The 18306-nt window shown below is 56.5% G+C and overlaps 1 protein-coding gene across 8 annotated transcripts in view; it reads right to left on the bottom strand.

Moving 5' to 3' along the window:
- The window catches only part of HMCN2 (hemicentin 2), a 168364-nt gene that overhangs the window by 82464 nt on the left and 67594 nt on the right, over positions 1-18306 (bottom strand). For 7 of the 8 annotated variants that reach the window (NM_001291815.2, XM_011518466.3, XM_011518465.3 and 4 more), the window contains exons 23-30: positions 13639-13766; positions 10295-10549; positions 9224-9310; positions 4300-4494; positions 2985-3115; positions 2529-2676; positions 1997-2123; positions 83-237 (exon numbers count right to left, since the gene is read on the bottom strand). In NM_001291815.2, coding sequence (NP_001278744.1) covers positions 83-237; positions 1997-2123; positions 2529-2676; positions 2985-3115; positions 4300-4494; positions 9224-9310; positions 10295-10549; positions 13639-13766 — 1226 coding nt within the window. Of the gene's footprint in view, positions 1-82; positions 238-1996; positions 2124-2528; positions 2677-2984; positions 3116-4299; positions 4495-9223; positions 9311-10294; positions 10550-13638; positions 13767-17533; positions 17702-18306 lie in introns of those variants that run through there. The other variant, XM_017014585.2, reaches the window with a different exon arrangement.

The following is an 18306-nucleotide window of genomic DNA, read 5'->3' as shown; positions in this document are numbered from 1 at the left end:
TCTCCCTCTAAGGCAGCGGGCAGCTGGGTGGGAAGCTTCCTGAGTAGCCTGTGGCGGGGTCCCAGAAGGCGTGGGGGCTCACCATGAACTCGGAGCTGGAAGTCCCTGGCCTGCTGACCAGCTGGGCTGAAGGCCACGCACTGGTATCGTCCCTCATCCCCCACGTGACTGCCGGTGATCCTGAGAACCTGGCCATCCTCCTGGACCTGCAGGTGAGGGCCTCCCGGAAGGACAGGCCTGGAGAGACGGGCAAGGGAAAAGCGCCAGTAAGGCCGAGGGGCTGGATGGGACACGCTGCACACAGGGAGTGTGTGGCTTGTAAAAAGCGAGGCTGGGCCATTCATTAGCGCCAAGAGGTGGGAGCAATGCAAAGGCCCAGTAAGCGAGGAATGGATCAACAACGTGTGGTCCGTCCATGCCACGGAACATTATTCAGCCACAAAAATGAAGGCAATTCTGACACTTGCCACAGTATGGATGAACCTGGAAAATATGCCGAGTGGAAGAAGCCAGACACAAAAGGCCACACACTCTATGATGCCAGTGATGTGAAGTACCCAGAACAGGCACGTCCATAGAGAAGGAAAGCAGGCTTGTGGTTGCCAGGGGCTGGGGAGAAGGGGACAGCGACTGGCTGCTGATGGGTCCAGGGTGTCCTTTTGGGGTGATGGAATGTCAGGAACTAAATAGAAGTGAAAGTTGCCCCATGCTGCAAATGTACTAAATGCCACTACACTGCACACCTTTTTTTTTCCTTGAGACTGAGTCTTGCTCTATTGCCCAGGCTGGAGTGCAGTAGTACGATGGCTCACTGCAACCTCCACCTCCCGGGCTCAAGTGATTCTCCTGCCTCGGCCTCCCAAGTAGCGGAGACTACAGGAGACTACAGACTACCGCCACCATGCCCGTATATATATATATATATTTTTGTATTTTTAGTAGAGACGAGGTTTCACCGTGTTAGCCAGGATGGTCTCGATCTCCTGACCTCGTGATCTGCCCACCTCAGCCTCCCAAAGTGCTGGGATTACAGGCGTGAGCCACTGCACCTGGCCCACTGTACACTTTAAAATGGCTAATTGTATGTTACGTGGACTTTTTTTTGGACGGAGTCTTGCTCTGTCACCCAGGCTGGAGTGCAGTGGCTTGATCTCAGCTCACTGCAACCTCCACCTCCTAGGTTCAAGTGATTCTCTTGCCTCAGCCTCCCAAGCAGCTGGGATTACAGGCGCCTGCCACCATGCCTGGCTATTTCTTTTTTTTTTTTTTTTGTATTTTTTTGTATTTTTAGCAGAGACAGGGTCTCGCTGTGTTGGGCAGGCTGATAGCTCCTGACCTCAGGTGATCTGGCCGCCTTGGCCTCCCAAAATGCTGGGATTACAGGCGTGAGCCACCACACCCAGCCCATTATGTGAATTTTACTTAGAGAAAAAGTGAGTTTAAAAAAAGAGGCTGGGCACGGTGGCTCATGCCTGTAATCTCAGCACTTTGGGAGGCCAAGGCAGGAGGATTGCTTGAAGCCAGGTGTTCAAGACCAGCCTGGGCAACAAAGCAGGACCCCATCTGTACAAACATTTTTTAAAAAATTAGCCGTTGTTGGTAGCGCACACCTGTGGTCCCAGCTATTTAGGAGGCTGAAGTGGGATGATCTCTTGAGCCCAAGAAGCCCAGGAGTTTGAGGCTGCAGTGAGCTGAGATCGTTCCACTGCACTCTAACCTGAGCAACTGAGCAAGACCCTGTCACCAAAAAAAAAAAAAAAAAAAAAAAAAAGGAAAGGCTAAGAGATGAGAAGACTTTGCTGAGGTAAGAGTGGGGTCTCCCTGGCTAATCTCCTGCTGGGTGGGAGGCGCCCCTACAGCCCTCAGTCTGGGCCCTGGGTGGCACATGCCATGCCTGTCAGCTCCCCAAGAAGAGTTCAACCTTCCCCAACCCCCACATCCAGCAGGCTGAGTCTGGGCACCACCACACGCCATCCTCGGGGAGGGGGGCACTCACTGCCTGTCCTTGGTCCACTCCACCTGGGGCGTGGGGACCCCTGAGGTCCAACACTGCAGCTCCACGTCTGCACCGGCCAATCCTAGCACCTCCTGAGCGGCCCCGGCTCCAAGCACGGAAGGAGGGGCTGGGGGTGAGAAGGCGTGAGGGGTGGGAAACTGTTCAAACCCTGCAAGCCCCGCCTACCACGGGGCCTTTGTCTGTGCAGACCCCCCAGCCTGGGCCCCCCTCCTACCTGACCTTCCTGGGAAGCCCCCCAAAACCCTGGCCAGAAGGGCTTGCTCTGGAGCCCTCAGCACCCAGACTGTTCTTTGGTAGCACTTGTGACAGTAATGATTTTGCTATTCACCTGTCTGATGTCTGTCCCCCAAGCCTGATAGCTCTGTGAGGATGGGGGTTGGGTCTGTCATGGGTCCCTCTGTGCCCCCTGCTCTCCGCAGGCAAAGTCTACCCTCTCCCCCGGTGTGCCTGCAAGAGTTGGGGCTACAGGGCCAGACACACTTGGGAGTTACAGGGCTCAGGTCTCACTCACTGAGCACAAGGAGATGGAAGTCCCTCTGGGCGGTGCCAGCCTGGTTCTCTGCCCGGCAGGAGTAGAGCCCAGAATCACCCTCCTGGATCCTGGGGAAGTGGAGGGACTGGCCCTCGTCCAGGAGGCGGTGGCCGCCCACCTTAGGAATCTGGGTAGGAGAGGCCAGAGGGAGCCAGTAAGAGGGGATCCAGCCACCACCCCCAGCATCAGTAATGAGGAAACTGAGGCCCGAGAGGTGGCCAGTGGCCAGAACGGTGCCATGCTCTCTGCCACGCAGCCCCTGCCAGGCTTCACTACATGACCACTATCCTCCACTGCCGTGAACCCCAGAGCACCACCAAAGACACCTGTCACATCTCCCTGCCCCACCTTGGCACACGCAGAAATGCCCATCCAGAAGACCTGTCCCCAGCCTAAATCCCACCCATACCCCGCCCACCCTAGGGGGACACCCACCAGCTGCGCGTCCTTCAGCCACACGATCTCAGGGACTGGAAAGCCGTTCGCGTCACACTCCAGCGTCAGGGACTGCCCGGCCATACCCGACACGTTGGCCTTGCGCCCGTCCTCCCGGATGCTGGGGGGCACTTGGGGGCAAGGAGAGCCGAGGAGCTGCTTCCCTGCCCCCTTAGAGCCACAGCCGAAGGGACCTCATCTGGGCCATTCCCTCCCCTTCGTCACTGGGGTTGGAGAAGGTCTGCCTGTCCCCGTCCGCCCAGCCACAAAGGGTCCTGTGGACCTGCAGATGGCCGCAGCAGCCTTGCCCTGGGACCCACACACCCCCAGTCGTGCCCAGGCCCAGGTGTCACCCTTTCTGACTCTCAGCTTTGCAAGGTGCTGGAGTCCCCTTAGATCCATCTGGTTCTACACCCAACCTGGTGTCACAGTGACCAGGGAGGGTCCCCCTGAGTGAGAATCTCTGAAGGTGAGGCCTGGCCACGCTTTTGTAACAAATGTCTTGAGCAAGTCATTACAGGGCTAGCCAGAGCAGCTGGTCCTGGGGAAGCAGCAGGTGGCGTTAGGAGCTGGTAGAACTGCCCAAGCGGGGCCAGTTCATCCTGCCGACAGAGACCACTCCCCAGCCCACCCACACTGCCCGTGTTAAGGAGGGGTTCCTTTCCTCTGCACATAGCACCCTGGATGTGGGGGTGGGCGCTCTCCCTGCTGAGGACAAGAATGTGAGAAGAGACCAGGGGTAACAGTTTTAACCCGGAGGTGGGCTCTGGGGCTCTGCACTGCCATCCGTGCTCATTTTTAAAAATAATTTTTTAAGTTTATTTTATGTAGAGACAGGGTCTCTCTCTCCCAAACTGGTCTCGATCTCCTGGGCTCAAGCAATTCTCCTGCCTCAGCCTCCCAAAGTGCTAGGATTACAGGTGCAAGCCACCATGCCCAGCCAAGGGGTCATTTTAAAATGCCTTCACCTCTAGACCAATCTCAAAGACACTGATGGAATTCCAGGTGCTTCCCCCATACTGTCTCCGTGGGGGTCTCTCTAGGGAAGTGGGGTGTACAGTGCAACCTGCCACTCTCCCAGCCCCCTCAAGCCCTCCCTGTCACTGGCACCTGGTGGCAGGACCTGATTCTCCTGTGTAGGAAGCTTTCAGGCCCCGGGGAACTGGCACTGCCACACCTGGGCACGCCGTGGTACTGTCAGACCCCCGGCTTCACTGTGGGCCTCTGGCCGGATGCGGTCCTGGGAGGAAGACAGGCCCGTCTCTGGGTCCCTGCCGCTTTCCTCTCTTGCCCCCAGCTCTGGGTCCCTGCTCACCATAGACCACCAGCTTGGCTCTCCTGGACGTGGAGCCCACCTCGTTGGTGGCCTGGCACTCGTAGTCTCCACTATCCGCAGGTGAGACGGAGGCCAGGAACAGAGACCCCTCCTCCAGCACTGCCACACCTGGCTGGCCATGCAGGGGCTCCGAGGACGGGCCCTTCCTCCATGTGACCTGCGGCTTGGGCGTTCCTGGCAGGGTGCATGGAGTCATCAGTACAAACACCCTGACACCTTCCCCTCCACACCTGCACTGTCTCCCACATGTCTCTCCTGTGCAAAAGGGGCTGACGGTCCAGCGATGACTCCAGGCACCTCCGTCCCCCCGAGGCTGGAAGGAGCATTTCCCTCGGAGCCGTGGGAGCCCCCACACCCGCCACCTACCCACACTGCCCATCCATACAGCCTCCTAGGGTCCCTGAGGGACCAAGGCGGGGACTGCAGGCCTGTTTTCTGGTTCTCTTCACAGCAAGTCCCCAGTCCCCTCATTTAGAATTGCACCCCAACAGGCACCCCCAGCCCCTGCCCTCCCTGCTTTTCAGCCGTCGTCCTCCACTTTCCAGTGATCAGAGGACGCGTCTATGCTCCAGGTCTCTGTTGTCTCTTTTCCGTGTCCCCCACCCGACGAGGGCCAGGCTCTTTGTTTTTTTCCCTGCTGCCACCGCCAGCCTCTAGCACAGTGCCCGGCACACAGTAGGCACTAAATCAATGAACGAGCCAAGCCTGCCGTGCTCCAGCACCCTGCGTTGTGCCCTGGGGTTAGGGCCTGTGGGAGGCCCCAATTCTGCTCAGCCTGCTCCTGCTCCTCCCTCCACAAGCCTGGGTCAGTCACTTTGCCAGCCACAACCCCCAGCCCCACCGTGAGTGCCACACCCCCCTGCCTCCAGCCCCACCGTGAGTGCCACATCCCCCAGCCCCTTGATCTCTAGGACACGCCCCATGTTGGTCTGTGCACACAGCCTGGTACACAGTAGGTGTGCCAGAAACAGCTGCCCACTGGGCTGGAGTGGAGCTTTCATTCACGGGCCCCAAGGACAGAACCTGCCCAGAGGGGGTCCTATGTGAGCTGAAGCTAACAGCCCAGTCCTCCAAGTGACCCCTTTGAGGCACACTGCCCAGAGGTCGCAGCGTGAGCCCCAGGCACACACTCTGCTGCTGCCATCCTGGCCCTAGCTCTCACCTGCCCCCTGACCTCCGCCAGCGCTGACTCAGGGGAGCCTGTGGGGTCCCCACACTTGCAGATCGGCACGTCACTCCCACCCGCCTTCTGCTGCTACCGCTGGTCATCAGGACTGTTGTAGCTAACACTGATTATCATCAGAAAGGGCCGCCCCTGGCAGCGGGGGCCCAGGGGTAGACACTTATGCTGTGGGCCGCTCACTCTTTCATCCTTGGAAGGACCAGTAAGCATGGTGGCGGGGAAGACATGGCATGTGGAAGGCACACTGGCATCATCTCTGCAGGAGGCTGCCCTGCCCCCTCCGCCCTACCCTGACCGCCCACCGTAAAGTGCCAGAGACCCTCCCTGCTGGCATGAGGGACAGGGAGGGCCCAGGGCCCTGCTCCATGTCCACCCACGCTCTGGGTGTCCTTGGGCAACTTACTGAATCCCCCTGTGCCCGTTTTCCTCTGGAATCCTCTGCCCAGAATGCAGGCCAGAATGTCCCACCGCCAGGGGCTGCTACCCCCACTCCCCACTGTGGGGATACACACCACACACACACAACACGATACACACACCACACACCACACTACACACACGAAACACCATACACACATACCACACACAAACATACACACCAAGCACTACACACACCACATACTATACACACCAAACACCATACACATACCACACATGACATACATACCAAACAACACACACACCACACCCTATACACACCACACACCACATACACACCACATACTACACACACCACACACCAACATACACACACAGCACACACACACCACACACTACACATACCACACATACCACATACACACCACACACCACAAACATACACACACACAGCATACATATCAAACAACACACACACCACACACCACGTACACACCATACACTACACACACCACACACCATACACATACCACACACAACATACACACTACACACCACACACCACACACAATACATACCACAAACCACACTACACACACCACCATACACACACCACACACAATATACACACCAAACACTGTGCACACACCACACACCACACACAATACATACCACACACCACATACACACCATGCACTACACACTACACACACCACACACACAACATACACACCAAACACCATGCACACACCACACACACACCAAAACTATACACACCACATACACAACACATACAACATATACACCAAACACTACACACTACACACACCAAACCACACACACAACATACATGCCAAACACCACACACACACACACACACCACATACACCAAACACCATACACACACCACACACACAACATATATACCAAACACTACACACACCACACACACCAAACACCACATACCACATACACATCACATGCTACACACCATACACACAAACACCATGCACACAAAACACCATACACACACACACACCACACATTCACACATACGCACCACACACTACACATCATACACACACACTACATACACATCAAACAACATACACACACCACACACAAACATATACACCAAACACCATACACACATCACACACTACACACAACACCATACACATACACACAACATACAAACACTACATACACACCCCACATACCAAACACCACATACCACATACACACCACACACTACACACCACACACACCACATACATACACCACACACAAACACCATGCACACCACACACACAACATACACCAAACACCATATATATAGACCACACACACACAGAACACATACATGCACACACCAAACACTATACAACATACATGCCAAACACCACACACACACACCACATACTACATACACACATCACATACACACAGAACACATACATGCACACACATCCCACACATGACACATACACCACATACACACACTACACATTCGCACACTCACACACATGCACACCCCCCTCTCATCTTCCTCAGCTTTCCCCTGAGAGCCCCTGTACTTCCCGCCACGCCGGGGGCCAGGCCTTCCGAGCTGCAGGTCGGGAGGGGTGATGGTTTCTGCTGTGGAACCTTGTTTACCACAATCTCAGCCTAAAGTGCTCTAGTGCAGGACGGCCCTGAAGCTCTGTGACAAGGAGGACAAGGAGATCCCCGGGCACCAGCTGCTGCCCAGGGTCCCTCACGCCGCCCCCTCCCCACTGTGCAGAGTCCCACACACCACACACACCACCAAGTGGGTGTCCAGGCTCTGGGCCTTCACGCCCCACCCCACCCCACGAGGAAGAGGCAGATGGTGTCACTGCAGGGCCCAGGGAGTCCCCATGAGGGTGCTGGGCTCAGTCCCAACCCTGTAGCCCTCAGAGCGCTCCGAGCCCAAGGCCACAGGGCTGTGAAACAAGGCCCTCCTGACCAGGAAGGAGGCCGGGGCAGCCCAGGCGGCAGGCCTGGTGGGGAGAGGCAGTGCTATCAGAGGGGATTTGGGTGAGGCTGACAGGCTCAGGACTGGTCCCTGACTGACCAGGGCTGTGTGTGGCAGTCAGGGGCTGGGTGGGTCCCACCTTCCACTGTCTCCCACCTCCCAAAAGCGCAGAACGGCTGCTTGCTGTTAGCAGAATCCAACGCAAGGTGGCGCCATAGTCAAGGGCCGGGGACCTGGGTCGGGGAGGGTCGGGGGGCCAGGTGGGCAGGTCGGCAGCTCTGCACCTGGGGATCCAGAGGGGCTCCCAGAGCTCCCACCCAGGTCCTCCCCTTGCCTAGGTGGGTGCCATCCCTGCTTCTACCTGCCTCTCCCTGAGTCCTTTTCTGGGGCCTTCCAGGGCGTCCTGTGGCTCACAGAGCAACAACCAAGACTAGAGACGCCCCCCAGGCTCCTGTCAGGCTTTGGTGACCTGCCACTTGCTACCAGACACCAGACAGCACCCTCCAGAGAACCTCAGCCCCACAGAGGGGAGGCGGTGCTCCCAGCCATGCAGGAGCCCAACGCCGAAAGAAGCAACTGAGGCAGTGGCGGGGGCTGAGGAGGGATCTTCTGGGTGGGGCCGTGGGGTTCACAAAAAGGCAGAAGCCAGGCATCCACCACATTTCCTGAGCCCTCCTAAGATGCCAGCCCTGTGCACGCGTGGGGTCCCACTGAGTTCCCACAGCAGCTCCATGCAGAGGGGCTGGTACAACCCCGCTGTACAGACAGGGAAACTGATGCTCGAAAGGAGATAGAAACTGTCCTGAGTTACAAAACCAGGAAGGGCCAGGGCAGGGTTCGGCGCTGGGCAGCTGACCCATGGTGGCTATCGGCCCCACACCGTGCTCCTGCCCCAAAGACAAGCCCAGAAAAGCTGCTTTGGCCAGAACCACTGAATCCATCCTCTGTGGGAAAGTCAGGGGCATGGGGAGAGGCGGGCTGACCACGAAGCCCCAACCCACAAGGACCCCGGGCTGCCTCAGCCCTGGCGATCACACCCCCAGATGCTGATGGGCACAGGGGGGCAGGGCAGGGGTCACACTTGTCCACATTCTGAGTCACATCCTGGCTGTGTGACTTCAGGCAAGTCACTTAACCCCCTTGGGCCTGGATTGCCCCTAATCAAAAGGGGCAATAACACCATCCTGCAGGGTTGACAATGGGATGAACCACCTGGCATGCTGCTGACAAGGAGCATGTGCCCCGTGGGCCTGCCACGTGCAACCCAGGGCACTGGAACATGAGTGGGGACGCCTCCCAAGCCAGCCCACCCCACCTCCCCAGTCCCTCCCCAGACGCAGCTTCACCTCTGGCAGGGCACGGCAGGCTGGCATTCTCTCCGGCCACTCGCTCCAGCAGGCCGCTGGTCTCATCAGCCCCCCAGTGTGGTGGCTCTGTAGGGAGGCAACATGGCCACACTCCTACCTCGGGCCCAAAGCCTGGCACCCCTCAACCCCTGCCTCCAAGGAACCCAGGGCCAATGGGGAGGGTGTCCCCTTCTAGAATCCCAGCCCCTAGCCTCCTGGCAAGTCCAGTCAGGGCCAGGGGTACTGGCTCACCCTGCAGGGAGGCCCCATGGTGCAGCCACCAGGGCCGAGCCCCACATGCTGGGGAGGCTGAGCTGTACCCTCAGACACAAGGGGCCATGAGTGGTCCCTCTCAGCAGTGGCTTTCCAAGCTTTTATTTATTTATTTATTTATTTATTTATTTATTTATTTATTTATTTATTTTAAGAGATGGGGTTTCACTATGTTGGCCAGACTGGTCTCGAACTCCTGGGCTCAAGCGATCCACCCACCTCGGCCTCCCAAATTGCTGGGATTACAGGCATGAGCCACTGCACTCAGCCCCAAGCTTGTTTTAAATTCCTAATAGTGAAACTGCTAGCACCACTGATCCAGAACTTTCTATGCGCCAGGTGCTTCACACACTCTCTCACATGGACCCCCCACATACTATTGGACCCACTTTGCAGGTGAGAAAACCGGGGTCAGAGAGTGTAGGTGACTGGCCTATGGTTGTCTGGATGGCCCTGGGTCCAGTGCCACTCCCTGGTTACTGCTCCAGGTGCCTCTGTCCACCCAGGTACTCAGGGGCCCCACAGGTCACCACCCAAGGGTAAGGAGTACAGGGAATCCCTGCTGGGAGCTCTGAGGACCACCTGGTCCATACCCAAGGACTGACAAAGGCTCCTGGACACAGGATAGCCCCAAAGCTGTGGGGCTGGAAGGTCCCAGAAAGGGCCAGGGCTCTATCTGTCCCACGAAGGAAGGGAACGGGCAGGCACAGAGCCCGGAACAGAGACGAGCACCTCCCAAATCCAGGCTGTGGCTGGGAGAGCTGGGGAGAAGCAGGTTCTGGGGCCAGGGAGACTCACCCAGCACCCTGAGCTCCACCTCCCAGGCATCCACCCCGGCGCTGTTGGAGGCTTCACAGCGGTACCTCCCGGCATCAGAGGTTCTGATGGCTGCGAAGTGGACGGAGCCCTGAGGCCCCCGGCCCTGCAACACCACGCCATCCTTGGACCAGCTCAGCTGGGGCTCTGGGTTGCCCTCAGCCACACAGTTCAGATCCAGGGCTTCTCCCACCAGCACCTTCAGAACCCGAGGGCCTGGCTGCACCTGAGGGGGGACTGAGGGGCCACAGGAGGGGTATCAAGGTTGGGGGACCCAGGCGAGAGGGTCCCAGAACCCAGGCCCAAGCCACATCTCAGATGTCACCAACCAGCAAAATTGTCATGGAGCACAATCAAAGGCTGGCAGGAAAAGACGTTGGGACACCTCACGTGGACTCCCCCAAAGTGAGTGAGCTCCGGTCTTTCACCTGAACACACGCACTCCTGAAAGACTCAACCCTTAGGGCTGAGCTTGTATATCCCTCTGCCCTCGCCAATGTGCCTGACATCATTTAAGAAGCGCCACTCGGGGCTGGGAGCGGTGGCTCACGCCTGTAATCTCAGAACTGTGGGAGGCCGAGGTGGGCAGATTGCCTGATGTCAGGCGTTTGAGACCAGCCCAGCCAACATGGCGAAACCCATCTCTACTAAAAATACAAAAATTAGCTGGGCGTGGTGGCGCGCACCTGTAATCCCAACTACTCGGAGGCTGAAGCACGAGAATTGCTTGAACCCGGGAGGCGGAGGTTACAGTGAGCTGAGATTGTGCCACTGCACTCCAGCCTGTGTGACAGAGGGAGGCTCCGTCTAAGAAAAAAAAAAAAAAAGCGCCACTTGGGATTCATCCAGCTCAGTGCACAGGGGAAACTGAGGCAAGGCAGAGGGGTCGACTTATAATGGCTAAGCAAGGTTCGGAGGCAGCATGTGCGGAGGTGGCTCCAATCCTGGTTCAGCTCCTTATAGCCAAGGGACCCTGCTCCAGCCAGAGCCTCAGTTCCCCCTCATCACAACCCCTCCCGCCCTGCGGGATGAAATGAGGTGCGGCACTAAAGCAGCCAGCATAGAGCCCGGTGGCTGGCATGCTGTGGCTGCAGTCACTCCAGCTGGGCATCACCGCTGCCCCGTCCTTCCCTCCCCCTGGCTGTGGCTTCCCGTTCTTTCACATTTGTGGTTTCAAGTCACTTTCTCATCCTCCATCTCACTCGGTCCTTCCTACATGGCAAGTGATGCCATCCATGCCTCCGCATTTTGCAGAGGGGGAAACTGAGTCTCAGAAAGGTTATATGACTTGGCCAGAGTCGCCCCCCTCCCTCAGGGGATAGGAGCTGGCACCAACCCTGGGTCTGAGTGTCCAAGGGTCCAGGCCCCTGCGGGGCCAAACTGGGTGGGCACAAAAGACTTCTCAGAGCCCAGGGGCCACCTTGCTCCAGGCACTGCATGGGACACTGGGACAAGTGTCCTGGACCCTCGAGGGACACTGAGGTGCACCCACCCCCTACGCAGCTTCTGAGAAGGAGCCTGGATATAAAACCACCCATGGGATCCTGGCCCTTGGGTGGAGACCAACCCCTTAGCCCAGGGCCTGGGTGCCCAGGAGCACAGAGAGCGTGGATGCCCCGCCCATCTGTCAATCTCTCTCACACACAACCGCTGAAAACAATAACAGCTTCCATTGTTCTGAGCATTCAATGCCCACAATGGGATGGGCTTTATTGTGGCCTCACTTTATAGAGGAGGAAAGCAAAGCTCAGAGAGGCCAAGTGACTGGCCTAAGGTCACACAGCCAGTCAGCAGCACAGTCAGGACTCAAACCCAGCTCTGTCAACGTTGAGGCCCTGCTTATTACACTGCCTCCCTGTTCCTGTGTCTCTCTCACACCCCCAGGCAAACCCATGGGAACCCTGGAGCCCCTTCCCACTCTGGGCCTCAGCTTGTCCACCTGTAAAATGGGGTGTGAGCTTAGATCCGGGGCAGCACATTTTTTCCGTAAAGAGTCAGGTGGTCAGGATGCTGGGCTGTGAGGCCAGGCAGGCTCCCTCCACTTCTCACCTCTGCCGTCAGAGGGTAAAGCAGCCACAGGCAGCACATAGATAAACATGCGTGGGCGTGTTCCAATAAAACTTGTATTTATAAACACTGAATTTTTGTTTTGTTTTGTTTGAGACAGGGTCTCGCACTGTTGCCCAGGCTGGAGTACAGTGGCACGATCACAGGTCACTGCAGCCTCGACCTCCTGGGCTCAAGCTATCTTCCCACCTCAGCCTCCTGAGTAGCTGGGACTACAGGTGCGGACCATTGCAAGTGGTTAATTTTTTATTTTTTGTAGAGATGGGGTCTTGCTATGCTGCCCAGGCTGGTCTCGAACTTCTGGGCCCAAGCCATCCTCCCACCTAGGCCTCCCAAAGTACTGGTATTACAGGCATGAGCCACTACGTCTGGCCAACACTGAAATTTGAATTTCAGATAAATTTGAAATATCACAAAATATTATTTAGTTGGTTTTTTGTGCTTGTCCAATTATTTTAAAAAGTGGAAGCCATTCTTCACTGGCTCATGATCTCTGAAAACAGGAGGGCAGATTGGGCCCTTGGGCCATAGTTGGGCCTGTCTTGGATGCCTCTCAGGGTTCTTTCGGATGACGAGCGCCCTCCCTTTTCAGTGTATGACTCCCACTGGCTGGCTCCCTTTGAATGAGCCCCAGGGGAACACCCACTCCTGGGACCCCCCACCAGGCTGGGAATCAGAGGCACAGTGGGGTACGTAGGGGCCTTGGACTAGAGGAAGGGATACATGGAGAGAGAGCGGCACCCACTGTTATAGGTGCACAAAGTGCCTTGTTGATGGCAGTGGTGGGAGCAGGGGCTCAGAAGGGCCTCTTGGGGGCATTAAGATGCTCCCAGCAGGAGGGGCTCTGTGGCACCTCACAGGCCTCTTCCCATCGCCACACCCTGGGCTCCCAGCTGGGCCTCGCGTACCAGGCAGAGACCCTCTCAGACCCACCTTCATGGGTTCCCCTCTGACCCCTGTCCTCCCAAACCCAAGTCCCCACTGTGCTCTGCCCTGTGTTGTTGGGGGCCTCTGAACAGCGTCTCCAGGACCCCTCAAGGGGTATGGGGAGAGGTGGAGAGAAAGGGTGGAGGAGGAGAGACAGGCCTGAGAGAGACAGGAAGTGGGGGTGGCAAAAGGAGGTGGCAGAGGCGCACGGAGGGAGAGGTGACAGAGCCTGACAGACCTGGGCGTGGGCTGCAGGAGGGGCACTGAGAGACCTGAGAGACAGGCAGGGTGATGGGGGACAGGGAGGGACTGGGGCTGCCAGCTGGTCCTACCTTGCACCCCAAGGACGTAGCGATGGGAGGCGGACCCGGCGGGGTTACTGGCTGTGCACTCGTAGTGGCCGCTGTCACCCACCTGCACCTGGGCCAGACGCAGGGAGCCAGACGGGAGGAGGCCATACCTGCGGGAATGAGGAGCACTGGTGAGACCCCCACTGACCCCACCCCCATGGAAAGGCTTCAAGACCCAACTTGAACCAGCCACCTCCCCCAGGAAGCCTTCTGAGAATGAGCCAGCACCCACCATCTACCCCCACCCCCGCCTCCATCCTCCCTGAACCACCAGGCCAGGGCCAGTTCTCACGCCTACTGGTGTAAGAGAAGAAGAGCACTGGACTAGGAGTCCACTGGCTTGGGTTCGAGTCTAAACTCTAAATCCTTCCTAGCTGTGTGACCTCAGGCAAGTTGCTTCACCTCTTGGAGCCTCCATTTCCTCATCTGTAAAATGGGCATGCTAAGACGGCCTGTGTCTGGGCCAGGGCTGGTAAACGGAGTCTATCACAGGCTCAGCCCAGGGCCAGGAACCTGCCCACCGCTTGACACCTGTTGACTGTGGGTGGCAACTCCCCCTCCTCTGCCACACACACCTGCCCGGTGTGTGGGATGAAGAAGCTGGCAGCCCTGAGGCCCTCTGGTCTGGTGCCAGGGCCGGCCTGACTCTGACTGCAGTCGCTTGGTGCTCTTACGTCCAGAACTGTGTTGAGGGTCCTCAGGAGGAAGCTGTGGAGCCCCCACCCCTGCTGCCATCGTTGTCCTCCCCAGTCTGGCTCAGCTTGATAAAGTCACATCACCCCCATCCCACAGGGATCGAGGACCCCCAGCCAGGCTCCTGCAGCTGGGCTGGACCCCAAGGGCCCCCTGCAGACATGATGTCACTGGGCCATATGTGCTGGCTCCGCACAGCTCCTGCCTCCATAAAATAGGGAGGACAGCTGCGGCCACTGACCCTAGCTGGCCTCAAGAGTACGCAGCCAGCATGGGGGTGGGGGACTCCAAGGCCCAGTCGCTGGCCCTGCGCTCACTGGCTGGGCTCTAGAACCCAGCAGGCCCGGGATGCCTGGCCCCCACCTTGCTTTCTGCTGAGCTTCAATTTCCTCCTCTGCAAAACGGGGCTCACAGAGCCCCTTATAGAATTCTTAGGGGTCCTCATAGCCCCCACCTCGCGGGCAGCTGCAAGGATCACATGAGACATGGTGAGCAAAGCGCGGGCCATGCAGTCATTAAACAGGGCAACACCATCGGCAATTCTCGGGCTACCAGCTGAGAACTCTGTCTCCCCATCTGCAGAGTAGTGCAATGACACCCCCTTTCCAGCCACCCCCTCCATCCTTTTGTCCCGAGCATCCAGCAGCCTCTTGGGACAAGTTCTCTGAGGATGGCTGTGGATGACACAGTGGGTGGTGGTCTCTAGAGCCCAGGCACTGGGCTGGATTGCCTGGGTCTAACCTGCTAGGCCATGCGCTAGCTGTGTGAGGTTGGGCAAGTCACCTCACCCTTCCTGTGCCTAAGCCATCTCATTTTGGAAAATAGAGCCATCAGTTGTGCTCAATGCTCACAGGGTTGTCAAAAGAACTGAATGGCCTAATTCATAACACGGCGTCTGGAACAGAGAGGTCCTCAACAAAGGTCAGCTGCTTCCATGGAGACAAGAGCACATGCATAAATAATACACAAAGTTTTGCATGTTTTAAAACTTGCATCACGAGCTATATCACGATATAAATAGCATCATGAGTATATATGTAGGGCTAATTAACTCATTTTTGACTGTTGTGTAATATTCCCTTGTATGATCACACCACAGTTTATTAACTTGCTCCCTTTTGAGTGGACATTTAAACATTCAGATCTTTATCTCTTCCTTCTTTCCTTCCTTTCTCCTTCCTTCTTTCCTTCCTTTCTCTCTCTCTCACTCACTCACTGCTCTATGTGTCTCACATGCACCGGAGCAGGTCTCCTGGGCTACAGGCTCACACCCTCTGCTCTCAAAGATCTCACACCTTGCAAGGGAGGGGTTCTCATCAGATTCTCCCAGCTGCATGTGAAACATGCTGATTCTCAGGCCCTACCCAGAGACTCATTCCATGGAGGAGGTAGGAATTGGGGTTTTACTAAAAAGCCCTAGGTAGCTGATACTAATGGCTGCGGAACCGCCTCCAGGGAACCACTGCCTGAGGACATGAAGACGTGCCCCTTCCCCAAGAAGCAGCATGGCAGAGCAGATGGGTGCGGGTCTTTGACGGCAGGTGTCCTGGTGAGAACCACCATTCTGCCTCTTACAGGCTGACCTCGAGCCAAGGACGCCATCTCCCTGAGTTTCAGTGTCCTTATCTAGTGTGAACTGATATCACACACACAAAGCCTGAGGTGCCCAGGACATAGTATATGGATAACACCTGCTCATCTTTCAATACCGAGACATCACCTCCTCCAGGTCACCTAAACTGCCTTGCTATTAGTGTGACACAAATCCCCAGCCAATGTCTGGGACCTCTCCGCAGTCTTCAATCAGCTGGGCAGCCCTGAACAGTTTGCTCAGTCTTTATAGTGCAAAGGAATACGCGAGAAGACACCACAGAAATATGTATGTGTCCTGGCAATGGGTAAACATTTCCCCTGCGTAGCTCTCCTCTGTCTGCCACTCCAGCTTGAATGTTCTCTTCTACAGCTTTTTAAAAAATTAAATATGTTGACATGTCGACACCCACCAATCAACGGCCAAATCCATTTGATGCTGAAACTTATACACTCAATCACACTCCAGGCTGGGATGCGGTCCCCTCCCTAGATTTCATCGCAACACCTGGGCTGGCAAACAGGGATGATGTGGGCCAGTAGGAAGAGGTCTGGGCTAGAAACTGGAGTTCTGGATCCGAGGTTCAACTGTGCTTCAGACATGCTGTGCAGCCCCAGGCAGGGCAGTCAACATCTCTGAACCCCATTTCATATTTGAAAAGGCAGCACACAGTCTGGGTAACACAAGGAGACCTCATCTCTACAAAAAATAAAAAACTAGCTGGGCATAGTGGCACATGCCTGTGGTCCCAGCTAATTGAGAGGCTGAGTTGGGAGGATCACTCAAGCCCAGGAGATTGAGAGCTCTGGTTGTGCCACTGTACTCCAGCCTGGGCAACGGGGCAAGACTCTGTGAAGAAAAATAAAGGGTGAGGGAGGGAGGGAGGGAGAGAGAGAGAGAGAGGAGAGAGAGAGAGAGAAGAGAGAGAGAGAGGAAGAGGGAGAGAGAGAGAGAGAGAGAAGAGAGAGAGAGAAAGAGAAAGAGAGAGAAAGAGAGAAGAGAGAGAGAGAGAAAGAAAGAAAGAAAGAGAGAAAGAAAGAGCAGCTCCAGACTCTAATCTGAGAAGTTGCCCTCCAGAACTTTAAGGACCATAGAATCCCTACTCCCCTCTTCACCAAACCCTTAAAAAGATAGGAAATGGGGCTTCTGAAAAAAAAAAAAAAAAAAAAACTTCCAAAAGTGTTAACAATTCACACCAATAAAAGTGGGTATCTTATCTTTCTTAGGAGCATCCAAGATCATTTCCTAGAAGGAGGATTCTGCTTGCTACATCACCAAGGAAGAAATGGGGGAATCCATTTTACAGATGGACAAGCTGAGGCCAAAGGATCCAGGACCTGCCCAGCAGAGCCTGTGTCTGCTCTAAATGCCAAACTGGCCACATCCTCACCTGCTCTCAAGCCCTCTGTGGCTGCCCACTGCTCCCTGACAAAACCCAAGCACAGTACTATGGCCTGTGTGGACCTACGCAGACCACCCCCAACTCCCCTGCATCCCTGCATGGGGGCACTGGACCACCGTTCCTCCGCAGGGGGCCAGGCCCATCTCACCAGCCCTCCTTGGCACATGCTGTTCCTTCTACCTGGGACACACCTGCACTTCCCATTCACCTGGATGATACTTGATTCATCTTCCAATACGGAGACATCACCTCCTCCAGGAAGGCTGACTTGATGCCCCAGGCTGGTAGGTCCATCCTGTAGGCTCCCACAGCTTCCTGAACATCCTGCCATCAAAGCCTTCACCACACTGGCTTGTCACCACCTGTCACCTGCCTGCCTGTGGCTCCAAGGGGACATCCGTCTTATTTCTCTTGGTATCTCCAGGACCTGCTCAGACCTGGCACAGAGAGATGCCTTATCATGACCCTGCGCATGCTCTGCGGAGACTCAGGGAAAAGGTGAAGCTGCAGCTATGGGCCTGGGGTTTCGAGGGCAGCCTACCACCTGCTCCTTCTGCCCCCTACCACTCTCCCGCTACATTCCCAGAAGCTCAGTGGGAGGTTTGGGGGCTGCAGCCCAGCAGGGAAGGGGAGGCGGCAGCGGAGAGATGGGAGAAAGGGAGGAGGCCACAGAGTCTCCGAGGAACAGGCTGCTGTTGGGCACATGGTGTGATGAGCGGGGCAGACTTCATCGCGACGTGCACGGCCAGATGGCTCCACGCAGCGCCCAGATGAGAGTGGAGAGGTTTGAGGGGAATTTCCTGTTTATGACATCCATCTGGCTTGAGCCCCTGCAGTGAGGCGCACGCAGATGTCAGAGTGGTGGGGAGAAGCAAGAGGGGCCCAGGGGGCAGAGGGCTGCCCAGAGAGACCAAAGGGCATCTGATAGGGAGTGCCAGGAATAATGCCAGTTCCCAGGCCTCAC

This window comes from Homo sapiens, chromosome 9 (assembly GCF_000001405.40).
Source record: "Homo sapiens chromosome 9, GRCh38.p14 Primary Assembly".
Classification (NCBI taxonomy): domain Eukaryota; kingdom Metazoa; phylum Chordata; class Mammalia; order Primates; family Hominidae; genus Homo; species Homo sapiens.
This window is presented reverse-complemented; position numbering and strand designations above follow the sequence as displayed.